At 37.4% G+C, this 24044-nt stretch overlaps 1 protein-coding gene across 3 annotated transcripts in view, besides 1 other annotated feature; it reads right to left on the bottom strand.

Moving 5' to 3' along the window:
* UNC80 (unc-80 subunit of NALCN channel complex) overlaps positions 1–24044 on the bottom strand; it is a 227465-nt gene that overhangs the window by 64818 nt on the left and 138603 nt on the right. For all 3 annotated transcript variants that reach the window (NM_032504.2, NM_001371986.1, NM_182587.4), the window contains 10 exons: positions 21812–21919; positions 20539–20677; positions 16521–16702; positions 15816–15947; positions 12793–12979; positions 12096–12227; positions 7493–7636; positions 4508–4608; positions 3425–3511; positions 474–657 (listed from right to left, as the gene is read on the bottom strand). In NM_032504.2, coding sequence (NP_115893.1) covers positions 474–657; positions 3425–3511; positions 4508–4608; positions 7493–7636; positions 12096–12227; positions 12793–12979; positions 15816–15947; positions 16521–16702; positions 20539–20677; positions 21812–21919 — 1396 coding nt within the window. The remainder of the gene's footprint in view (positions 1–473; positions 658–3424; positions 3512–4507; positions 4609–7492; positions 7637–12095; positions 12228–12792; positions 12980–15815; positions 15948–16520; positions 16703–20538; positions 20678–21811; positions 21920–24044) is intronic.
* Positions 15593–16792: an enhancer, noted in NCBI's record as "P300/CBP strongly-dependent group 1 enhancer chr2:210782411-210783610 (GRCh37/hg19 assembly coordinates)". NCBI's record gives its function as "activates an origin of replication core promoter dependent on BRD2, BRD4, P300/CBP, MED14 and CDK7 cofactors, with strong dependence on P300/CBP, by STARR-seq in HCT116 cells {active_cell/tissue: HCT116}" and the evidence as "EXISTENCE:reporter gene assay evidence [ECO:0000049][PMID:35650434]".

Genomic DNA, 24044 nt, shown 5'->3' with positions numbered 1-24044 from the left:
CCGTATCTTGAGTTTACATCACGCTTCATGTTCTTTTGTAATGCTCCTTCTTCCTGCTTTCCCCTTTTCCAATTTTTCATAAAGCCCTCACTCATGGAGTTTACAAAAGACTGGAGTCCATGCCATACAAACAATATTATTCTTGCACTGCCAAAAATTCACTCAAACAAGCTTTCAGTTCAGCTGGCTCTCTGCAATAGACTTAAATAAATCTTCAACCTTGGCAGCCCTTCAAGGACTGATTCATGCGGATCTCAGTTCTGAGTCTCCCTTTTCAGCTGGCAACCGCTGACTTTTTAAAGGGTCTATTGTATTTCCTCTGATTATATTAAACAAAAATTCTTTGAAGCACTCAATACTGGGGGTTAGAACTCTGAAAATTTTCTCATGAATGAAAGAGACTCTTAGTCTTTCAAAGGGCTATTTATAATTTTTTTTTAAAGTTATGTTACTAAAAAGTAGTAGTGGCTTACCTGGCATTGAAGCGGTCACCAGGAGCTTCACCTCACACTGCTCCTTCTTCATCGTCTGCTTGAGATCCTTGAAGAAGAGGCCCTCCACGTAACCCACCACCTCCCACAGGAATGTCAGGGTGGCTGAAATGGCATCCATCCCCCACTCGCAGGGGGTCCGCACAAAGTACATGATTAATCCTACCTAGAAGTCAGTATAAGAAGAGTTCACAAAGCTACAATAATCCCGAGCTCACATTCTCATTTCCTTAGCTTTTCTTGTTTTAAACTCGACCTTCTTCTGTGCCTTCATATTCTCTGTTCAGATGCTTCTCTAACACTTTCAATGTTACCAGGAGAGGGCATAACTGGAAAACTGACCACACAGGCTGCTGTACATTTTTATATATCATTAAAATGGCGAATTCTTAAGAAAAAAGCAGATCATTCCCCCCTCCCCCCACCCAGGCATCATGTCACTTGGTAGCTAGGTACTTGGGCCATCTAAAATTCATCTGTATAAGAAGTTTGTCCAAGCACTATTTGCAGCTTGGATTATGTCTAATAGTCTCAAACCTAAGAGCACACTGCTTGGCTAAGTTGATGAACTTCAAAATTTTTGTGTGTCTTCTTTTTTTTTGTTTCTAAATTCAGGGGTACACGTGTAGGTTTGTTACATAGGTAAATGTGTGTCATGAGGTTTGTTGTGACAAACCTTACATTATTTTATCAGCTGGGTTGTTTGCATATCTTCTAATGTAATTTTGAAAAACTGTGTGCTCTTTTGCACCTTTTAAAGTTGACATCTAAAATGCCTCATTCAAGTTTATTTTTTGTTAATAGGAGGTAGAATATGTTCAGCATTCTATACATTGAAATAAGATGAGGACTGACTATAATTGGAATATTTGATGAAATAACTTTCAATTATCCTATTCAATAATGTGCAAATATTCAGAAAGAAATAGTGTAAATTTTTTTTTCTTGTGGGTTTTAACCATTGTTTCTTCAAAAATTTTGTAGTCCTGGAAAACTTTGTAGTTATGTTGAAAGAATCAGTGTCGCAAACCTAATCTGTTTTGGTGTTCTAAATGCTGGACACCCTAAGGAGGGCCAACCCTCACCCTTAATAGAAATTTATAAAACATAGGACCAGATAGAAAGTCCTATGGGTTAAAGTGCATTGATCAATCAGAAAAGATGATTTCTTAAAACTACTAATAACATAGAATTCAGATTCTTTCTCCAACCTACATGCCTGTCAGTGCAGCCTGGTAATCTCTGGGATGATGGGTTGGGTCTTCCTTGTGTGCACTAGAATAATGGTTGAGATGGCAGACTTACTCAACAAGTGTTAGTGCATATCTGTTAAGTTGAGTATTTGGAGATTTATTTCTTTTAAAACTATCTGGGCATCAAGCTCCCTTAAAAATATTTTTGTTGCGGAGCTAAAGGATGGAGGAGAGCAATGGTCTGGGCAAGCATTTCTCCTATTCAGTGACCTGGGGAAGGGGCAGGTACACAGGCAAGCGAAAGAAACACTGAAGGCGCTCTCATCTCCAGTCCCTCTTTGGGCTCTTTCCACACCAGCCTGGATGGAGTGTAAATTTGGCAGGGCACACACCTAAACTGAGGGAGGCCCTGACATTTGGCTTTCCAAATCCACCTTTGGTTTTCGTGTGGTGTAGACAGAACCCAGAAGTAGTGGATGCTTGGCTGGAAAGCTTTCCAGATAGAACGGCCATAGGCTGTTGTCACTGAGCAGGATGCTGTAGCTGGTGGACTTCCTATGTTAGAGCCCTATGGGACTCATGGCAAGAACTCAGGGGGTCTAAAGCACCCACAGAAGCTAAGGGGAGGTTGAGTCTCCTGGCAAACAGTGCCAGGAGCAGACAGGCTTTGAGTGACAGCAGCCATGGGCTTGAGTTTGTGCCCATCCAGATATCCAGCAACCAGCCAGACTTAAGAACATGGTCTCACAAATGAAGGACCCAGATAAAATGCAAGGGGTGAGATGTGGAACACAGGTCTTTTTTCTTCCCAACTCCACATAGCTATAGAGACAAAAGCAGTGTGAAGGAGGGAGAATTCCTAGAGACTATGCATTTTTATCCAAGAGAGACTGAAAACCACCAAAATGTACTGTTTATGTTTTGGTACCGGTCTGAACTTAAATCTGGATTGGACATTTATTCATATTTTTTTCCTTTGCCAACCAGCAAGTAGGCACTCGGAAGAAAGATGACCAAATTAGTCTTAGACAAGAGAAAGGAATTACAAATGTTCTCTGCACATGGGGGTTGTGGTGGGAGTTAAATTTATCACCCTGCTAGGGATGCATATGCATATGGATAACTGAAGGAGTATGCTCAGCACAGACATTAATTTGGCTATTTGTCTGCCTGGATTAAGGGGCAGTTTCAAGGTGTAGTCATCAGGTTCTAGTCCCCAAACTGCATATTCATCTGGGGTTTAAAAAAAGAATGTGAAGAAATTGGTAAGTCTCAGAGGATCAGAAAAGAACTGCCAGGGCAGTTAAAACTGTCATAGACAGTTGCCATGCAAAAATATATACACAAAAACTTTCCATCTAGGACAACAGTTGCATCTGTGTGTGTGTGTGTGTGTGTGTGTGTGTGTGTGTGTGTGTGTGTGTGTGTGTTTAAACATAGAGATAGGAAAAGAGGAAAAAATACTAAAAGAACACATGTTTTCTCAACAGAAAACAAAAATAAACAACAAACATAAGAAAGTTATATATTGCTAAAGGAAGACAGAGAGGAACTGACATTTATATTGACTGTCCTCCATATGTCAAAGAGTATGCCAGGCAGGGGCTTCCCTACACAGAATTTAGTTGACCAGGATTTGCCTTTAGTAATGTAATTAATGGAAATTTATTGAAAAAAATCTTCTAAGACCTTTTCATCATGGTGCTGCTTCGTAATTGGAAATGAACATTTATAACTCACCAAATAGTTGAATAGGATGTGAGATGTCTGAGCAGGAAAGTCTCCAATATTCAAGAGAAGTTTGCGCAGCATGTACATTAACTCATCCTGAAAGAAGAACAGAATTTTTAATGTTTCCTTCAGCTGCCATGCTGTAGAAAATAAAATTAACTTCTTGAAAATTCGGGATTGGGTGAGGGATTTTTTTTACTTTTGCCCACATATTGATTTCAATTATGTTCAACATTTTAATATAGTATATGTGATACTTGTTAAGTAGTATTTAAACCATCTGGAACACCTTTCTCCTAGGAGCTAACACATAAAAATCACTGAGCAGTAAACGACTTTGTTCTTTTTAAATTGACACTGTGTGTGTAGGTCACAGGCAAGTCACAGGAAAGCTGTATATTTAGTTAACTCTATTGGCCATGGTAGCCTGATATGACGGGACTATGAGGAGGACCTATGTTGAAAAATCATTAAACAAACCATGTTTTTGTGAATGTCTTAATTCTGCTTTCTAGGTTTTGAGTCAAAGAGAAAAAGAGAGGTTACAAGAGACTAGATTGAAATGTCTATAATTAACTTTACCTTTCAGAAACTAAACTTAACCTTCCAGTGAATATGACTATAGCATAGAAATGAACAAATAATTTTTAATCATCGCTGTATTTTGCCACTGCTTGAAAGACTACTTTTATTTGGCATGATCTTCTTACAAGGTGGTCTGACAAATCAGGTTTTTGGTTAATGAAAAATTTTAACATATTCTAATAATCATACCTGCATCAGACTGCCAAGCATTCAGAATTCAATGAAGGTACTCAATAGTAAGAACATTATACTTAATTTAATCTTGCAGTATTTTAGGATCCTCACTAGCAATGTAATATATATATATATAGAAACATGAATTAATGGAGAAATTAAAAACAGCAAAGTTAAGTATTGCTCATCATTATCATTATTTAAAAAGTACTTATTGGTTGTGTATTGGAGGGCATTGAGTTGCATGCACTGCACTATAAAGTTCTTTGCATGATTTTAACAGTGTTCACACTTGTAGCCACAGAGCTACACTAAAAAGGAAGAGGAATTTACTTGTCTATTGCTGATGGTCAGTTTTTCCAGAAAATGTCGAAGAACCGTTGATGGATCTTCAATTAGACAGTTCCATAAGACTTGTTGAGCCACAGCACTCACTTCAGAAGAGAAAGAAAGTTGAACATTTGTCTTTAATGGAGTTAAGTCTATGAGATAAAGTATTTGACAATTTACAAGCTTTAGTCTCTGCTTTTTGCCTTAAAAGGCTCTGTGAACTCTTTTTTCTTTTGCAACGTAGGTGTTTGTTCTCTTCGTTGTTGTCTCTGAACATTTTCACATGTAAAGAACAGGTTACCAAAAAGTGTAGGAGTTGTCTTCAGGTATCAGCAATGCTTTTGCAAAGAATATCTCTGTGAATATATGCAATTGTCTTTGTTGTGGAAGTCACCCCAATAATAGCAGCAGTCAGCACTTATTAAATTACAGTCATATTTTATTGTTTATTTTATGGAGAAACTATGAAAGACTATTTGGATTTTGAAAATATGTTTTGGTTTAGAATGCATATGAATTAGGGATTTTTTTTTCTGTCCACATGAGTGCTTCAAACAGTATCTCCTTCAGCAAGATAAAGTAGTTGAGCCAGTAACAATTAGGTTCTCACTTCTAACGAAGAAGTCTTAAGAATAAATAATTAATCCTAATGAGAAAGAAAGTGCTATTTCTGTGGGGAAAGCGGTCAGGCTAAGATTGTCTAGAAGTACCCAGACTAAGAAAGCAAGTGGGTAAAAAACAGGGCCAGTAAGCACTGAATGGTCTTTAGTTTCAACGTGTTTCCCAATTCCATTGGTTTTCAAAAGTAGGAATACAGAATTTAGCATAAATTTATTTCAAATAAATGATACCAAATTTTGATTCAGAAACAAGCCATACAGTTAAAGTTAAAGGACATATAAATAATATTAACAAAAATATAAATCCAGAGCTGTAGCTTTCATGTGTCTCTATAACTAATTAAAATAGGTGTGAGTTTTTCTCAGGTTGATATTGATTGCAAAAATATCTTTACATGTGAAATAAGCCAGGCACAGGAAAACAAATATTGCATGTTTTCACTCATTTGTAGAAGCTAAATAAGTTGATCTCTCGGAAGTGGACAGTAGAATAGTGCTAACTAGAGGCTAGGAAGGGGAGGCGGGAGGGAGGCATGGGAAAGGTTGGTTAATGGATAAGAAATTACAGCTAGATAGCAGGAATAAGTTTCAGTGTTCTTTAGCACTGTAGGGTGACTATAGGTAACAATAATTTATTCTATATTCTCAAATAGCTAGAAGAGAGAATTTTGAGTGTTCCTAACACAAAGAAATACTGTTTGAGGTGAAGGATATGCTAATTACCATGATTTGATCATTACACATTGTATACAGGTACTGAAATATCACTGTACCCCATAAATATGTACAATTATTATGTGTCAATTAAAACTTTAAAAATGTTCATGTTATTTTTATTTTAATTGCTTAAGTAAGGCAGTTTCATGCTTAAAACATGAAAAATACAAAAAAATGCAAAGAGAAAAATAAGACTGGGAAGTCCACTCATCACAGAAACAACTATTAACAGTTTGGAGTATGTCATTTCACATACATGAAATATATATTTACGTGCATTATTTTATTTTATTTTTATTTTTGAGATGGAGTCTCACTCTGTTGCCCAGGCTGAAGTGCAGTGGTGCGGTTTCGGCTCACTGCAACCTCTGCCTTCCAGGTTCAAGCAATTCTCCTGCCTCAGCCTCATGAGTAGCTGGGATTACAGGCACGTGCCACCACGCCTGGCTAATTTTTGTATTTTTAGTAGAGACAGGGTTTCGCCACGTTGGCCAGGCTGGTCTCGAACTCCTGATCTCAAGTGATCTGCCTGCCTCAGCCTTCCAAAGTGCTGGGATTACAAGCATGAGCCACCGTGCCCAGTCTACTTACATGTATTTTAAAATAGTACTATATATAGAAAATATTCTCTGGTATTCGGTTTTTTACTTAGCAATGTATTAACACTTTTTATATTAATATTCATCTAGAATGCAATTCCAGCATTCACAGAATGTTATCATATGGAGGTACTATGATTAACTAATTGCTTATTGTTAGGGATTTAAAGTCTTTCTAAATATTTTTTATTTTAAATAATGATCAGTGTACAATGTCCTTTATACAGCCCTCATGATTGTCTTAGGAAATTGCTAGAAGCCAAATCTGTGTCAAAAGCTTTTCACACTTTTAAGGTTTTTGATACATATCATGAAACTCTGTTCTAGAATGCTTGTACAGAGTTTTATACTTCATCAGCAAAGTATGAGGATGCTCTTTCCCCTGCTTTTTCACCAGCAATAGATATTTTCATTTAAAGTAATATTTGCCGACTTTCTGGCTGAAATGTAAGATTTATTACAGTTTTAAACAACGATGTTGTCTCCAGGTGTTACTGGCCATTGGATTGCCTGCTGATATCCTTTGCCCAGTTTTCTAATGGGGTTTTAAAAAATTATTAGTGAGTTATAAGAGCTTTTTAAAATGTAACGTTAAGAAATTAACCTTTGTCTGTCACAAATGTTACTCATCTTTTCCCTTAGTTTATCGTTTCATTTTGCAATTATTCTTTTTAGGTAGTTAGCACGTCAGGAAAGGTAATCACGTAAGAGAGATGGTATTAGTGGTGTCAAGCTAATAGCTAAGATTTCTAAGGTTTGATTTCTATGTGGCTAAATAATTATTGTGTTGTTCTGTTCTCTGGTCACGAACAATGCTCCTGGACCCAATTACCTATTTTAAATGCAATTTTTTTGGCCATAAAGGTAGAGGGAGAAGGAGGTGGAGAGAGTGATACTGTTAGCGCAGTATGTTACAAATCTGTAATTATAATATGTGCATAAAACAGTTCAACATGTGGCCAGTAGATAATGTGTTTAAGAGCAACCTACTGTCTTCTATCAGATAAACAGCTTAAGAATGTCACTGATGATCTGACTGTTCAAAACTGTACCTGCTACTCCATCTTCCCGCACCTCACCATCCTCCATCAGATGAACAATGGGAAGTACTGCTGCACAGATGCATGCTGGGAACACTGCTTGTGGGGGCTGAGGCACATGGTGGTTCGGCGTGTGTTCAGTGGTATGTTCCTCATCTAAAATGGGAGACAAAATCAGGGTGCTTTTCTCAGTAACGTAATTCTTTGTTGCTACTGTTGTTTTGAGATAGGGTCTCACTCTGTCACCCAGGCTGGAGTACAGTGGCATGATCACTGCTCACTGCAGCCTCGACTTCTTGGGCTCAAGAGATCCTCCTGTCTCAGCCTCCAGAGTAGCTGGGACCACATAGGTGTGCCACCACATCTGACTAATTTTTTTATTTTTTGTAGGATGAGTCCTCACTGTGTTGCCCCAGTCGGTCTTGAACTACCGGGCTCAAGCAATCCTCCCACCTCCACCTCCCAAAGTGCTGAAATTACAGGCATAAGCCACTGCATCTGGCCTCAGTAATATAATTTTAATGCAACATTTCTCAGTTCAAGGCATACTTATTTAAAAGCATAATCCTAGCAATGAGAAAATGCCAACATCTTAAAAAAGATTACGTTACACAAAGTGCCTCTTCATTTTATAACAAATAAAAAAAACCAGCCCACTTTCCGAGTACTATTATTCTTGTTTGGTAGAGAAGCGAAGCACAGACATTCTGGGACAAGTGGATCGGTTCACAATATTAAATTAATGAAGATAAAATTCTAAGCGGAGACTAAGACATTTTTCATAGATGCAACTGGTTGTGTGCATGTGAGTGTGTGAGAGATAGTAAGCAGTAATATGGGGTAGAAGAAAACACACATGCATTTAGGATAAGAATGACATAGCCCACCCATATTAATGTTTTCATCCTCATTGATAAATACAATAACAAATTAAAAATAAATATAATTGCATATAGGAATAAAGGAAAAAGGTTAGATTTAGTAGGCAAGGAAGGTAGAAAAGGTATTTAACAGCTTATTAATATGAAAATATACATGTCACTTTTCTAAAGCACTAAAGAATTGTGAGTGTTTGATTCTCAGATTAAAACTTACATGACTATTTGGGATTTTAGAAGGCCTATGAAGGACTAGAGGGTTAAGAGACTTATACTGTCATTCTCAGTCTGGGCTTTGAGAGGTGAAGCCAGCTGATCTTCTGGGTTGGATGTGGACTTGGAGAACTTTTGTGTCTAGCTAAAGGATTGTAAATGCACCAATCAGGGCTCTGTGTCTAGCTAAAGGATTGTAAATGCACCAACCAGCACTCTGTAAAATCGCACCAGTCAGTGCTCTGTGTCTAGCTAAAGGATTGTAAACGCACCAATCAGCACTCTGTAAAATGGACCAATCAGCGCTCTGTAAAAGGGACCAATGGATGTGGGAGGGGCCAAATAAGGGAATAAAAGCTGGAATAAAATAAAATAAGGGAATAAAAGCTGGCCACCCAAGCCAGTAGCGGCAACCCGCTTGGGTCCCCTTCCACATTGCAGAAGCTTTGTTCTTTTGCTCTTCACAATAAATCTTGCTGCTGCTCACTCTTTGGGTCCGCATTACCTTTATGAGCTGTAACACTCACTGTGAAGGTCCGCGGCTTCATTCTTGAAGTCAGCGAGACCAAGAACCCGCTGGAAGGAATAAATTCTGGACACAGCTTCGTAGTAGATGCATGTGGAAATCTTTAAAAATGTATATATATATAGTGGACCAAGCACTTCTGCAACAGTGGAGTATAGATCCCTGAAATCTGTTCTTCCGTAAAAGCAATGAGAATACTGTGAAATACACTTTTTTCGGAGCTTTCAAAATTTACCAAAAGCTTGGAACTATTTGAGGAGCATGTATTAAAAAAACAACAAAAAAAAAAAGGAAAAAAGACCAGTGGTATTTCTGGCTTTTTAACTTGTCCTACTCACCTCCCTGTCTTCCTAGGTCCTTAGGAGCCTTGAAAATTGACAACCTTGCAACCATGGTAGCTGTTAAAACCAGCAGCCTAGCAGCCACTGGATGGGCAGAGCAGTTTTGGAGCCCCCTAAAAGCCTCAACACCAGAGAATTGTCACTACTTGACCTATCTAGAACCCCATGGAAAATCCCTGTTCACAAGGTTTGTCTTTATTTAGCTTGACTTAAAGCTTAGTGCAAACAGCTTTATCCCCAGGGCATTTTCCAAAAAAAAAAAAAAATCAGCAACAATTATTTAACATTGTAGCTGTCTGAGGTGCTCATATGAGTTGGGAGAAGCTGGAGGCTGACAAAAATCTTAAAAGGCAAATCTGGAGAATGAGATTTCTAGGGGGCTTGCAAATCACTGACATATTCCTGGTTATCTAGATGGCTGTACATATGTACAAGGTTGTGCACATGCCCAGGAAAGACCTGAGAAATTCGTCATCTCTCATGTTTGGCTAACCTTGAAGCTCTACACAAGCAGAAAGTACAAAAATGAAGGGCAGAGTTTTAAACTACTGGAACACTGAAGATGTGCCTCAACACACCCAAAGTGGTCCTCAGTAAAGGCTGGAAGACTTATTAGTTCAAGGCACTTAAGAAAATCTCTGTCTAATCATTACCTGACCACTAATGTAACTGAGCAGGGATTTCAGTGCTCACACTCAACAAAGGCTTATTATGGACTTTACAAATTAGTCAAGGAAAGTTACTAAACAAACAAATAGCAACACAATAATAAAAAATCCTGATGAGGAAAGGGGGACATTTGATTTGCAGAGTTTCCACATTATATAATTTAAATTGTCCATTTTTCAATAAAAACTTATGAGACATATAAGAAACCCGGAAAATATTGCCCATATACAGAAATAAAAGCAGTCAACATAAACTAACCCTGAGGAAGCTTAAATGTTGGACTTACTAGACAAAGATTTTGTCAGCTATTATAAATGTTTTATTTTAATATAATGTTATGTTATATAAAACATATTATCTTATAAAGTTATTATAAGATAAAGATATAAATAAAACTGTGTCTTTCACATGGCATATCTTATATTTTAAAACGGCAGGCACATATCTTACCTTATCCAAAACTGCAATAAATGTAAACTGACTAATCAAAAGGCAAAATTAGCAGAATGGATAAAAACAAACAAATATGAATCAACTGTTATGTTTAAGAGACGTAATTTAGTTTCAAGGACACAAATAAGATGAAAGAAAAGGATGAAAGAAGATATGCCATACAGATAGCAATAAAAAATGATGTGGAGTATCTATGTTAACATCAGACAAAGTATACTGTAAGTGAAAAATTTTTACCACAGGCAAAACAGAGCATGTTATAATGACAAAATAATCAATGAGAAAGACACAACAATTATACAAATATCTGCATATCAAGATTTCATGGTACTGAGAGAAGGATTGACATACAGATCAGTAGAACAGAACTGAAAAACCATAAATATACTACTACATTTATGTTCAATTGCTTTTTGACAAAGGTGCCAAGAAAATTCAATGGAGAAAATGGTCTTTTCTATGAATAGTGCTGGGACAACTAGTTATCTAAATGCAAAATTCTAACTCATAACATAACACATATTAACTCAAAGTTGATTACACACCTAAATATAAATGCTAAAACTCTTAGAAGAAAACATAGGAGTAAATCTTTGTGACCTTGGATTAGACAAATTGTGACCTTGGATTAGACAAATTGCGACCTTGGATTAGACAATTGTTTCTTAGATATGACACTAAAAGCACAAATGACAAAAGAAAAACACACACATTGGACCTAATTAAAATAAAAAATTTTGTGCCTCAAAGTTACCTTTAAGAAAATAAAAAAGACACTCGCTTCTCAGCCTTTTGGCTAAGATCAAGTGAAGAAAGTAAAAAGACAAACTACGAAATGGGAGAAAATATTTGCAAATCATATATCTGATAAGTGACTTATATCCAGAATGTATAAATAGTTCTTATAATTTAACAGTTAAAAGACAAATTGCCCAATTTAAAGTGGGCAAAAGATTTGAATGAATACTTTTACAAAGAAGATATACATATGGTCAATAAGCATATGAAAAGATGCTCCATACCATTTGTCATTAGGGAAGTGCAAATAAAAATCACATTGAGTTACCACTTTATACCCACAGGGATGAATAAAAACAAAAACAAAAACAAAAACAAAAACAAAAACTAGTGACACACACTGAAATCAGCTGAGGAGGTTTTAAAAACACTGATGAGTCCTACCCTCAGAGATTTTGATTTGGTCTTAGGAACTTTCTTTTTAAGCTTCCCAGTTGGTTGTAATGTACTGTAGCTAGGTGGAGAACTATTAACTGTCTAGAATGATGTATTCTGAACCCTCAGCAATATGATTACATGCAATGTAATTAAAATAGAGCCAACTTAAAAATAACAATTGCTGAGGTAAATCAACAATTTTTTTTTAAAGGATGCCATGCTAATTTTTTTTAGAATGTCAAGTCATGAGACAAGTTATTTAATGAAGACAATGTAATCAAGTGAGATCATGATATTAACTGGAAAGTGTTTCAAAACACATAAGTCAGGAGAAATAAAACGTATGCAAGAGGACACACCTTCAGCACTGACGGCTGAACGCACTGACCAGACTGACCCGCGGCGGAAGGAATAATTCCTGTGGGAAGTGCTGGAGGTGCAGGATGGACTCACAGACAGTCGACGGGATGCCAGATTGGTGACTTCTTCTACTGGCAAACAAAATGGGGAATGTGAACTTTGGCTTTATAACAAAAGAGTTATTATTATCACATTGTTGTTGTATCACAAATGCATACTGCTCTCAGACCATAAGGCTTAAATAATTTTGAGTGTACTTAGAAAAGGAAAAATAAAAATTAAAAAAGCCCTACAGAGGAAAGACAGAAAATATCCCCCGAAGTTTTTACAAAAGCAGGACAGAGAATCACTCAATTCAGAATGATTAATTAATCATTTTTGATACCAACTGACAAACTGCACTTGTGAAGGTTGAAAGTAGTTAATGAAAGATTGGTTGCATTTACTTTAATACACATACTGGATTCAGCAGTTCCCTGAATCATTCATTTAATGTAACTAATGTCCTCCTCTGAAAATGGCTAACTCTAAACTTCAGAAAACAACTTTTCTCTTTCTTTGGTTAGCGTCAGGAAGTGAGAGAGAGATGGAAGGGGGCATATCACCTCATGTCACATAAAATTGTCAATGTTAATTTCAGAGCACGTTATTTCCCTGAGACTCAGCCCCCCAAGAAGTCCTGTGTGCAGAGGGCACCTTCTTCTTCCGGTTCTGAGTTGGGCGTGCATGTGGGCTCATAGCAAGCCTCCTGGGTGATGGGGATGGCAGTGATGAGGCTGGCTTCTCTACCAAGTCGTTTCTTTTCTTCCTCCTGCTGCAAGTTCTTTAAGATGTGTTCTGCCCTTTGATGGGAGCGGGACACAGCCCGGGCTGAAAAGGATTTCTGTGGAGACATAAAGGCAAGTTCATTTAATAGCAATTCTTCTGCAAGGTCACAGGCATAAAGAGTGTTCCAATGAATGACACAAACGTAGTAGTTTGTCCTCAGGAAATGTTAGGATACCCATGATCCAGTTTCATGGATATTTGTCCTTTTACCAAATTTCCAAGCTGTGTATGGTTAAGCTATTTTTTTTTCATTCAATCAGAATGATTCTTCATGAACACATAATTTCTGGAAGGAATCCTATTTCATCTCAGGATTTGCAGGGATATCAATGATTTGCTCTTTAAATATTATGATCAAATAAAATTTTTAAGTACTCTATTTCTTTCTAGAATGTTTTGAACTGTTTTTAAATGGACATTTATTTCAGGCCAGGTGTGGTGGCTCACGTCTGTAATCCTAGCACTTTGGAAGGCTGAGGCGGGTGGATCACTTGAGGTGAGGAGTTCGAGACCAGCCTGAGCAACATGGTGAAACCCCATCTCTACTAAAAATACAAAAATTAGCTGGGCGTGGTGGCGCAAGCCTGTAATCCCAGCTACTCAGGAGGCTGAGGCATGAGAATTGCTTGAACACAGGAGGCAGAGGTTGCAGTGAGCCGGGATCACACCACTGCGCTCCAGCCTGGGCAACAGAGCGAGACCCTGTCTCAAAAAAAAAAAAAAAGAAGAACATTTATTTCATAAGGTTAATAAAATTGAAAGTCAGAATCATGGAAAGGACAAAGAAAGAGAGATCTCTCATATAAGCCAGTTAGTTATATGGCTTATTTCATTTCTGTAGCTCAAGTATTTGTCACACTATAAACACTTAATAATATTTGTGGAAACAAAGTTATGGAATGAAAAATATGAGAGCTGATAGTGTTACTAAGGTTGAATGTAAAATCTGACTCTATTTAACAGTAGCCAAGGCATACTGGAAAAATACCAAGAAAAACTCACTCCTCCATAGATGAAGGATCAGGAACAATGAAGAAAAGAAGATTCACTGTACAACAGCTATTCTATTCATGTCTTAATTATGATGCTTATGCCCAGACAAGCTCCAAGAGCTTTGGAGACAGAGTCAGTGGCCTCTGAGCAGGGAAGTGATCACTGGAGTTCTTCTCTATCCACTTGAAGTAATGTTTATGCACAATGGCAATTCCAGAACTCTTTGTTGGCTTATAGTCACACAGGGTTCAAGAGACAGGCAGGGGATGTTGATTACTCTTCTACAGGGCTGCATTTGTAGATAATCCCTTTATGGAGGATCTTAACATAAGACTAAAGGTTTCCTATGTTGAAAGGTAGAGTAGCAATTAAGAGCATTTTTTTTTCTTTTTGAGATGGAGTTTCGCTCTTGTCACCCAGGCTGGAGTACAATGGCACAATCTCAGCTCATTGCAACCTCCACCTCCTGGGTTCAAGTGATTCTCCTGTCTCAGCCTGCTGAGTAGCTGGGTTTACAGGTGCCTGCCACCATGCCCAGCTAATTTTTGAACTTTTAGTACAATCCATTTTCAGAGCCAGATAGCTAAGCTGGTTTATTATATTAAGGCATAAGGTAAGAACTGTGGAATGAGAAAGATAACTGGATATAAAATCAAGGTACTTGATTTCAAATCCACAGTGAGCTTGGGATACAGATTGTGGCTGGCTCAGATGAACCCACCACCTCTTCAGGAGAAAAATCAAAGATAACTTTATGTTGGTGGTTCAGATGCTGAAATTACTGCACATATGGGAGAAGAACCAGGTGTGTATTTCTCTTTGGCAAGGTACCATCAGATATGAAGGTAGAATTAAAATAAAATAGGTATATTGTGATGGGAAAGAGTTTAAAAAACAGTTCTCCAAAGAAAGCGACAAATGCCTAGAAATACTATGAGTAATATGCAAAGATGTTCAAACTAATTTCATATATTCAACTAAATTTTTCAAAGAAGTATGAATAAAATAAACAGTAAGTTGTTTTGGCCATTCAAAGTGGCAATTAAAATAATAACACTAGTTAATAAGATACTTTTCAATTCTATTCTATAAGGACAAAGTGATATAACTTTTCTGGGGATATTTTGTGAGATGCGTCAAAAACCTTTAATGGTTATTATTTTATTATTGCCATAAATCCCATAGGAATTTATGCAAGGAAACAATGATAAATTTGTGCAAAGAGGTGTTCTTTTTTCTATTTTTGCTTTATTTTCCAAATTTTCTACATTACTCTTGTAATTTAGAAAAATACTATTAAACAGGTGAAAAAGGCATATTCTGAAGATGAATTTTTTTCAAAAGGTGCATATTCTTGTTTTTTGTCTATAAATGGACTGTGTTCTAAATCTGACCGTTTATGAGTTATATTACATATAGCAGTAATAAGAGCAGGGGTGTCAGAGTGATGTCTGTGATGATGACACTGATAATCAACAAAATGAAGAATAAACTAAGGTTCAAACAAGTAAATAGCTGCCAACTCTCTTCTTTTTCTTATTTTTTTCAGGGCCAGGGTCCTTAACTTGGCTTGTGTATTATTGGTTAAATAAGTATGTTCGTTTGTAATAAATAGAGGCAAAAGGGCCACCTTTGGCCAAGAAATCAATGCCTAATGCTTTTAGTAGCTTTAAAGGTGGCTTCTGCTTTGATTATAAAACAAGACTTTTTTTTTGAGATCTGCAAGTACTCACTACTCGATATTATTCTCTCTATTATATTCACAAGGACAAAGATCTTTTGTGCTGACTTTCTGTGTTATTATTACATTCTTATGATGAGAATGAACAAATTACCACAAATATTAATTGTTCTCTTTTACACGTACACCATGGAACCTGGAAGTGTCTGTTACTCACAGACTGGTCTTCATTAATGGGGTCCTGGACACTCCCGCTGCACTGAGGAACCCACGGTGGGTCAAACATTGGGACGGATGGCATTCCAAGCACCGGCGAGGGAAGGGTGAAATTGATACTGGGAGGCGGAATCTGTTAGTTGACATCAGAAAAATTAGGTGAGAGGGAATATAAGCTAGAATGAGGCTGAAGTATAATGATGACACAATCTGTCTCAGGAAGTGTTAATCATCCAAGTGACTTCACACAGAATGAACAAGAATTTTAGAAAAGGGCTATTTGCCAAGATTTTCTGTTATAGAGCACAAGATGAACCTATCTGGGCCTCAGTTTACTAATTCATTAAAGGCTTTCAATCAAATGATCTCTATTTGAGTTTATCAACCCATCCTCCAAAACATACCTGTAAGTTTATATATAGCAAAATGTTTAGAAGATAATTCCCCAGACTTTCATATGCTTACCTCTGGGAATGCTGGTGAGATTTTGAGGTTTATAGAGACTTGATTTTCTTACTCTATATTCTTCTATATTTTAATTTTTTAACAGTAGGAATGCATTCATGTATGTTAGGTTTACTTATATGATCAGAGAGAAAAAAGAAGAATATCTTTGGCCACATACTGTGACTTTGAGGTTCAACGGTTTAAACAAACCTTGGGTTGGGTTTGCTAATGTAACTCCTCTGTGAGAAGTATCCCTCACCTTAAAAATCTGCTGTGCCCCTTCCTCCATCCGGGGCCAGACCTGATAGCGAAACCTCCAGAGCGTGTGGAACTTGAGGACAGCGTTCAGCCTCTGCACAGTCTCCGGGTGGTGGAACTCTGACATCAGCATGTCGGACACGGCCTCAGGCACCTTCACTGCACACAGCAGGAACATGGCAGCTAGAGACAGTCAACAATTCATCAGCTATGCTTTTAAAATATTGCTTAGTTCCTGGGGTTGGGGAGAAGTGGAAACTGCTTCTATCTTCTGAAAATGACTCCTGAGCTATATGGAGCTAGGCTACCAGCACTGGCAAAAGCAAACCTTCTTTGTACCACCCACAACCTTCCAATAGCTGGTGCGAGGGCAGCAACAACATGACATTTCAGTAGAATCACTCACTCTAAGCAAAGTTTCCTTTGACTCACAGTGAAAAGTGAATGCCAGAGGAAGCAAATGAAATTAAAAAAGTACATCCTGAAATATGTTTTTTAGGAGATAGCCAGAGTCATCTCTTAGTAACCCGAGGACAATAAATAAAGTTATCCTTTAAAAACTACCTCATTTACATTAGCTACACTTTAAAAATTCCACATCATAGGCTCTATTAGAAACATATATCCTTCCCAGAGATAGAAGAGGTTGAGAAACCAAAAGAGATTTAATGAGTCATAATACCATGAAAAATTATTGTGAAAAGCCAAATATCAGTAAGTGAAAGGCCAGGTTCCATGATAGGTTATAAAGCTAATGAATAATGAGCTTTATAAATACACTTTATAACACAGATAGAGGAGCCAGTGGCAGTTATAAAAACATACCCTACATGAGTATGTCATGAATCTCTCATGTTCTCTTTCACAGATCCTAACAATGTGCTTAGGCAGTTGTGCCAGAAGAAATGGGGTTAAATCCTAGTAGCTCTGATACTTCTCTGCCATGAGATCTTGTGCAAGCCTCTTAACTTCTCTTAGCTTGCGATTTTCTTTACTGGTGAACCTCCCAATAAGAACAATAATGATAATACTAATACCTGCTTCCAAAGTTGTTTTTAGAATAAAATAAAAGAATATATGAGAAAGTGCTTTGTGAAGTGAAAAGTACAACGCATTTCTAAAGTATATTGTTTTTTAAAAATAGAGGCAATGTAGTTGTAATGGGAAGGGCATCTATCTGTGCAGTCAGAAAATCTGGGTTTGGTTTCCTTGCCCTTTGAGCTGTGTGAACTTAGATAAGTCCTTTCAATTATCTGACTCAAGTTTGCTCATCTATAGAATGGTTTATCAATAAGATAATGCATATGATCTAGTTCTATAACAAATGCTAGTTATTGTAATCATTATCTTTTGATAATACTTTTCTTTAGCCTACTAGGTGTTTAAGTCTCCACTCTTTCTCCTTTCCTTGCTTTTCTTTAAAATGAAACCCACCCTGCCTCAATTTTTAAACACTAGGCTCATTATTTAAGTCACTGCAGAGTTCTATCATAATCTCTACTGAAAAAGTTTTCTTGTAATGCTCACGAATCCTCAGATCCAATGGTATTTGTATACCATTTGTTTCCTTTCAGTTTTTAATACCTTCATAATCTCCTTGAAGAATTATTTTCCTTTGCTTCCACAGCTTGAGATTATTTGAGTTCTGTACTTTTCTGATCACTTTTTCTGGCTGGGCTTCTTCCTCTGGTCCTCTAGATGTGGAGAAGACCAGTGGCTTAGTGGTCACTCCTCATCTCTTTCTTCTCTACTGACCCTCTCCCAGAGAGCCCATCTACTCTCACTATTTCAGCTGCCATGTATACCAACTTGTTCCCCATGTTTACCTCTAACTTTGGCCTTCCTCTTTAGTTTCAGTGTCATGTCACCAATCATATATTACCAACTCTCCTTCATCTAAAAATTACTATTTCTTTTTGAAAAAAATTAAAAATTTATTTTAAAAATATGCACTTAATATTTGTACACATGGAGTACATGTGGTATTTTGTTATATGAATAGAATGTAATGATCAAGTCAGAGTACTTAAAATATCCACCACCTTGAGTACTTATTATTTCCATGTGTTGGAAACATTTCAAGTCCTGTCTTCTAGCTATTTTAAAATATACAATACTTTGTTATTAACGATAGTCACACTACTATGCTTTTGAACATTAGGACTTATTCCTTTTATGTAACTGTAGGTTCGTACCCATTAGCCAACTTCTCCTCATCCTTCCTCTACAACAAAACACTATTTTTAAAACCAAAGTATTCCACATATTGCTGCAGTATCAAACTTAGTAACAATTCACACTCTGTATACAACATTGCTGTATGGCTCAGAAACCACCACTGGTTTTTCACAATTCAGTGGAAGGTCCACAATCATAAGCCTGTCATTCAAAGTCGGTTACAAGCTGAGTCCCACTCACCTTTCTAATATTATGGACTTGTGACCCCTCTACAAAAGCCATGCTAGCCATGTTAGTTTTCAGTCTCCTCAGGCTTTCCAAAAAGCCCAGTGCACGTCCACATTCACCCAGTTTTTGTTTTTTTTTTTTTTTTTTTTGAGACAGAGTCTCACTCTGTCGCCCAGGCTGGAGTGCAGTGGCACAATCTCGGCTCACTGCAAGTTCCGCCTCCCGGGTTCATGCCACTCTCCTGCCTCAGCCTCCCGAGTAGCTGGGACTACAGGTGCCTGCCACCATGCCCGGCTAATTTTTTTTGTATTTTTAGTAGAGATGGGTTTCACCATGTTAGCCAGGATGGTCTTGATCTCCTGACCTCGTGATCCGCCCGCCTCGGCCTCCCAGTTTTGCACACACCATCTTCCCTTCCTGGCTAACTTCTAGGTGTTCTTTAAAGCCCCGTCCACCTGTTTATATTTTCCATGGAAGTTTCCATGACTATCCCACATTTGGGGAGTGTGCCATTCCCTGAACTCCTACAGCGCTCTCTGAGAAGCAAAAACCTAAGCTTTAATGTGAACAAAGATATTTTACCAAGATATTTATTGCAGTATGGTATAAAAGAGCAAAAGGCTGAACTCCACCTAAATTTTCATCAATAGATCTTGTTTAAATAAATTACAATATGTCAATTCATTCAGTGGAACATTTTGTAGCCATTAAAAAGAGAAGAGGTAAAACTATAAACTGATATTTAAAAACAGTCTTCTAGATATAAATGAAAAAATTCAAAGTGCACTTACAGCATGTCCCATTTGCATGAAAAACAAAACATTCAATACACAACTTACATATATACATACATATATGTGTGTATTTATATACACACACACACACACACACACACACACACACAGTTTACCCTAGAAGGATTCCTGAGAAACTTAAAAATTGTTGCCTCTGGGGAAAGGAATGGTGCTGGGAGGGGGAAGGGGGCTGGGGGATGGGGAGAGGGGGGCGGGTCATAGGAGAGAGGGCAATACTTTTAGCTTCATACAATTTTGTATTACTTGAATTTTTATCACGTGTATTTTGAAATTAAAATAACCAGATACAAATTTAGCGATCTGTATAAAAAGTGGAAAAATGAAGAATACACATTTTGCCTCTATCACTAACTAGCTATGTGGCCTTGGACAAATCACTTACATTTTAATACATTTGCTTTGATATTACCTTTTGGACACAGAACATTACTCACATAAGATTTGATAAAGTAAATTACAGTGGTGCATGTTAAATCTAGGAGATGACACAAAAAAGAATTTTGTCTCTTGTGAAATATAGTGAAAGTGCAGGATCTGGGGAAAATCATTCTCTATAATTTGGTAACACCCTGAGAGAGACATATGCTATGGTGCAGACCATATGGTGAAATTGGAAGGGAGCACACAAACCCTGGGTCTACCTTCCTATAGCACACAGCTCTAGAGTCTACAGTTATAGCAATTGCCATTAACTTGACCTAGGAGCAAAAATAGAATGGAAACACCTCTCTTATTTAAACACTTGGATCAGTAACAGCAGTGGCAGCAGGCACAGGGTTCCAGGTGGTCTTTCTTTACCTGCTGCCCCTGCCATGTGCTCATCCATGCTGAGCAGGAGCTCCCAGGCAGCTGGCTGGATGTCTCCGTACATCTCCTCTGTCAGAATTGGTGCTGCCTTGATTAACAGAGATAAGGGAGCAGGCGACAAGCTCATCACCTGGGAAAAGATGGAAATCATGTTTTAAAATCTTTTAAGACAGTGAATACTGCACTTCTCTTGAAACTTAAAAGCCACGTCCCCTCTCTCTGCTTGCCTTAAGTGACCTTAAAATGCTTTCTAAAATGGGAGCATATTTAGTTGACATGGCATATGATAGATAAGCTTTATACCTTATAACTGAAGCATAATTAGAAAAAAATACACTAATTTTATGACGTTTTCACCACAAAATTGCTTTGCGACCAAGGAGTAAACTATATATTGAGTACAACTCCACAAGAAAAGAAAGACTCCAGGAAATACATCTTTGTGTTAAAAGTCTTCATAGATTTTTAAAGGATCCTGTTTTCCTTCCTAATAGTAGATTTCCACCAAAAACTATAAGCAGCCTGTAACTGATGAAAAAGCCCATTGTGAACATGCATGGCATTTCCCTTTGAAATACATAATACATTGTGGTTATTGCCCCAGATTAAACCACAAAATCCTTTATCCATTATTTCTGACAATTTGGGTGACAAATATAGGTTCTAGACAAGTCATCATCATTTCACATTCCAGAAAAATATGAACAATTTTTTTGGGGGGGAGAACATAATGATTTAGAGCTCATGTTGTAATAACAATATAACAATGTGTCAAGCACTGGATAAGTAGGTACATGAACCATTTTCTTTAATCCATGCCATAATTCCTTGGGACAGGTCTAGTGTTGTAACCCCCATTTTATAAATGAGGTGACTAAGATCAAGAGAAATTAAATAACTTGCCCAAGGTCCCAGAGCCAGAGCAGCAGACATGGGATATGAACCCAGACTGTCTCATTCCAAAACCCGTAAGTGTCACTGTTACACACATGTGGGAAGTTAGCTCTCCTGCAGTGAAGACAGTGGGGAGAGCTGTGGTTCGAACCGAAGTTCCCAAGCCTTGTCTGTGGAAGCTGGCTATATAGCAAGAAGAGATTTCTTTTTTCCTGGCACACTTGGTGGCACTCTTGCTCACCAACTGAAGGGGCTTTATGCCAACACTGTACCAACTGATGTTGTATGTCCCAAACATTAGTAAATAGGCTGTCTGGAGTCCCCTCCCTGTTAAAAGTTCCATGAATCCTTCTGATCCAGGTAACAATACCTGAAGTCTGATGTACTTCAGCATTCCGGAATCTTTTTTTCCTTCCAGATTGGCATCTGAAACTCTCTTCTTTAGAGAAGGTGTCCTCAGGCATGACTTATCTGAGCACTGAAAAGACCAGGGATATGTAATGAAGAGTGATGTGTTTTCTAAAAACCCAACAGTGCTATATGTCCCCGCAATTCTCCAGGCAACCATCTTCTAGTGGAAGCGATAATTAAAGGCCTTTTTGTGGGTCCACATTTTCTAAAATTTATAAAAGCAGTTTATTTATAAAAGCAGTTAATTTTATAATAAAAAATTAGCTTAGAGATATTGAGTAATGAATTCCTCTTTGACCTTTGAGGAAACTGGGATCTGGAGAGGTGGAGGAACTTGACTGAGTTGCAAAGCTAGTTATCAGCAGAAAAAGGAAAGGACAAGGATCTCCCCATTTCCATTTCAGGGCTAATTATATTTCATCAAGCAGTTAAAAAACACAAATCTTTTAAAATATTTAGTCAGATAAAATCCACTCTATCCAATAGTCCCTTCATAGGGTTGGATGCTGCAAGTTGAATGACTTGGTCATAAAGGAGAGAAAACATTTCATAGAGAAGTGTTAGGAAGTTAAAGGTCAAATACAGGACCCATCAAGGAAGCATGAGTTCATAGTATCCATTATCAAGGACTGAGTTGTACAGGTAAAATGATTTCTTTTCAAAAACCATACTCTTCTGTAAGAGGCAGCAGCTCTTCTTAAAAATTGTCTCCTCAACCAGGAGATTCATCTACATAAGGACGAATAAGACAATTTCTTCCTCTAACTCCTTAAATGCCAAGGGATGGACTGAATAATGCAGCTGGGAGAAGGACTGAACCTAACGAAGGCAGGCTTATTTATCCAGAGTCCTGATTCTTCCTATTTTTGCACTCCAGGCTGTGCAAAGAGGGAATCGTTCTCCTCAAACAGAATAAATGCTCATTTGTTTTTCCAGTGCCATGTCAGTGAAACACTTTCTCCCTCTAGCCAAGGGAAAAAAAACTGAACTTCTTAAGAATTTTTGAACAGAGCTTCATAGTGTTATGGATAAAGATATTTTGAAAGAAAAGGCAAATCTAAAAGTGCATGGATATTCCAAGAAAGTCTTTCAAAACTCTGACAAAACGACCCAAGAAAATGCATCTATTATGTGACGAGTATAGAACCAACTTTTAAAATGAACCTACTTCAAAACAAGTGAATCAGGGCTCTTGTTGTGCTTTCTAAAGAAAAAATCATGGAGGTGCATATGTGGGAACACATATTATTTGGGGAGATAACTATTGCTTTGCTTTTTTCCCCTGTGAATGTGAAAGCAATATATAGCATAAATAGCATGCCCATTTTATATAACTTGAAGACTGTTCTAAAATCATATATAGCAATAGTTTTCCACATTAATATGGAGGTGTATCTGACCCTTGCAAAAGAGTCAAGATACTAAAAACTGGCACCTCTCTGTTTTATTATTTATATTTATAAAATAATAAATGTACCCCTGCTTGCACTCATTCTCTCTCCTGCCGCCCTGTGAAGGGCTGCCTTCCACCATGATTGTAAGTTTCCCAAGGCCTTACTAGCCTTGAGGAACTGTGAGTTAATTAAGCCTCTTTCCTTTATAAATTACCCAGTCTAGGGTATTTCTTTATAGCAGCATGAGAACAGACTAATACAATCCCCAACCCAATGATAGCCATTATTAGGTTCCTTTCAGCCTTTTCCCCCATGCATCTTAGCACAACTGTGATGATGCTATGTGTGGCACACAATTTTAAATGATTCATTTTACTATGATTTTATAAAGAGTATTTTTCCATTACAATTATTTGAAAATATGATTCTTAAATTTTGCAAATATTTTACCACTTTCTCTTTTGGTTGGACATTTTTTCTCCAGGAATTCTTTTGAATAATATTTCTTGATTAAATTACAGGAATTTTAACCAGGCAGATACAGGAAAATACTCAGCACACCAAAAAAAAAAAAAAAAAAAAAGATGAGCATTTATATTTGTCCCTGATACCCTGTGTTTCTGCCTACCAAAGTATAAGTCAAGTTCCTCAAATATTTAATATCCTACCATGTTACCTTAGGAAGCATGGTGTGTTCTGGTGGCCTCATGACACTTAGGGTGCTTGTTTTAGTGGAAAAGGAAGGAAGCTGCAAGGGCTTTCACATCAAGGTGATAAGCTAGTAACTCTTTTTTAATG

Source organism: Homo sapiens, chromosome 2 (genome assembly GCF_000001405.40).
Source record: "Homo sapiens chromosome 2, GRCh38.p14 Primary Assembly".
Classification (NCBI taxonomy): domain Eukaryota; kingdom Metazoa; phylum Chordata; class Mammalia; order Primates; family Hominidae; genus Homo; species Homo sapiens.
The sequence above is the reverse complement of the archived record's forward strand: the minus strand, read 5'-3'. Positions and strand labels throughout refer to the sequence as shown.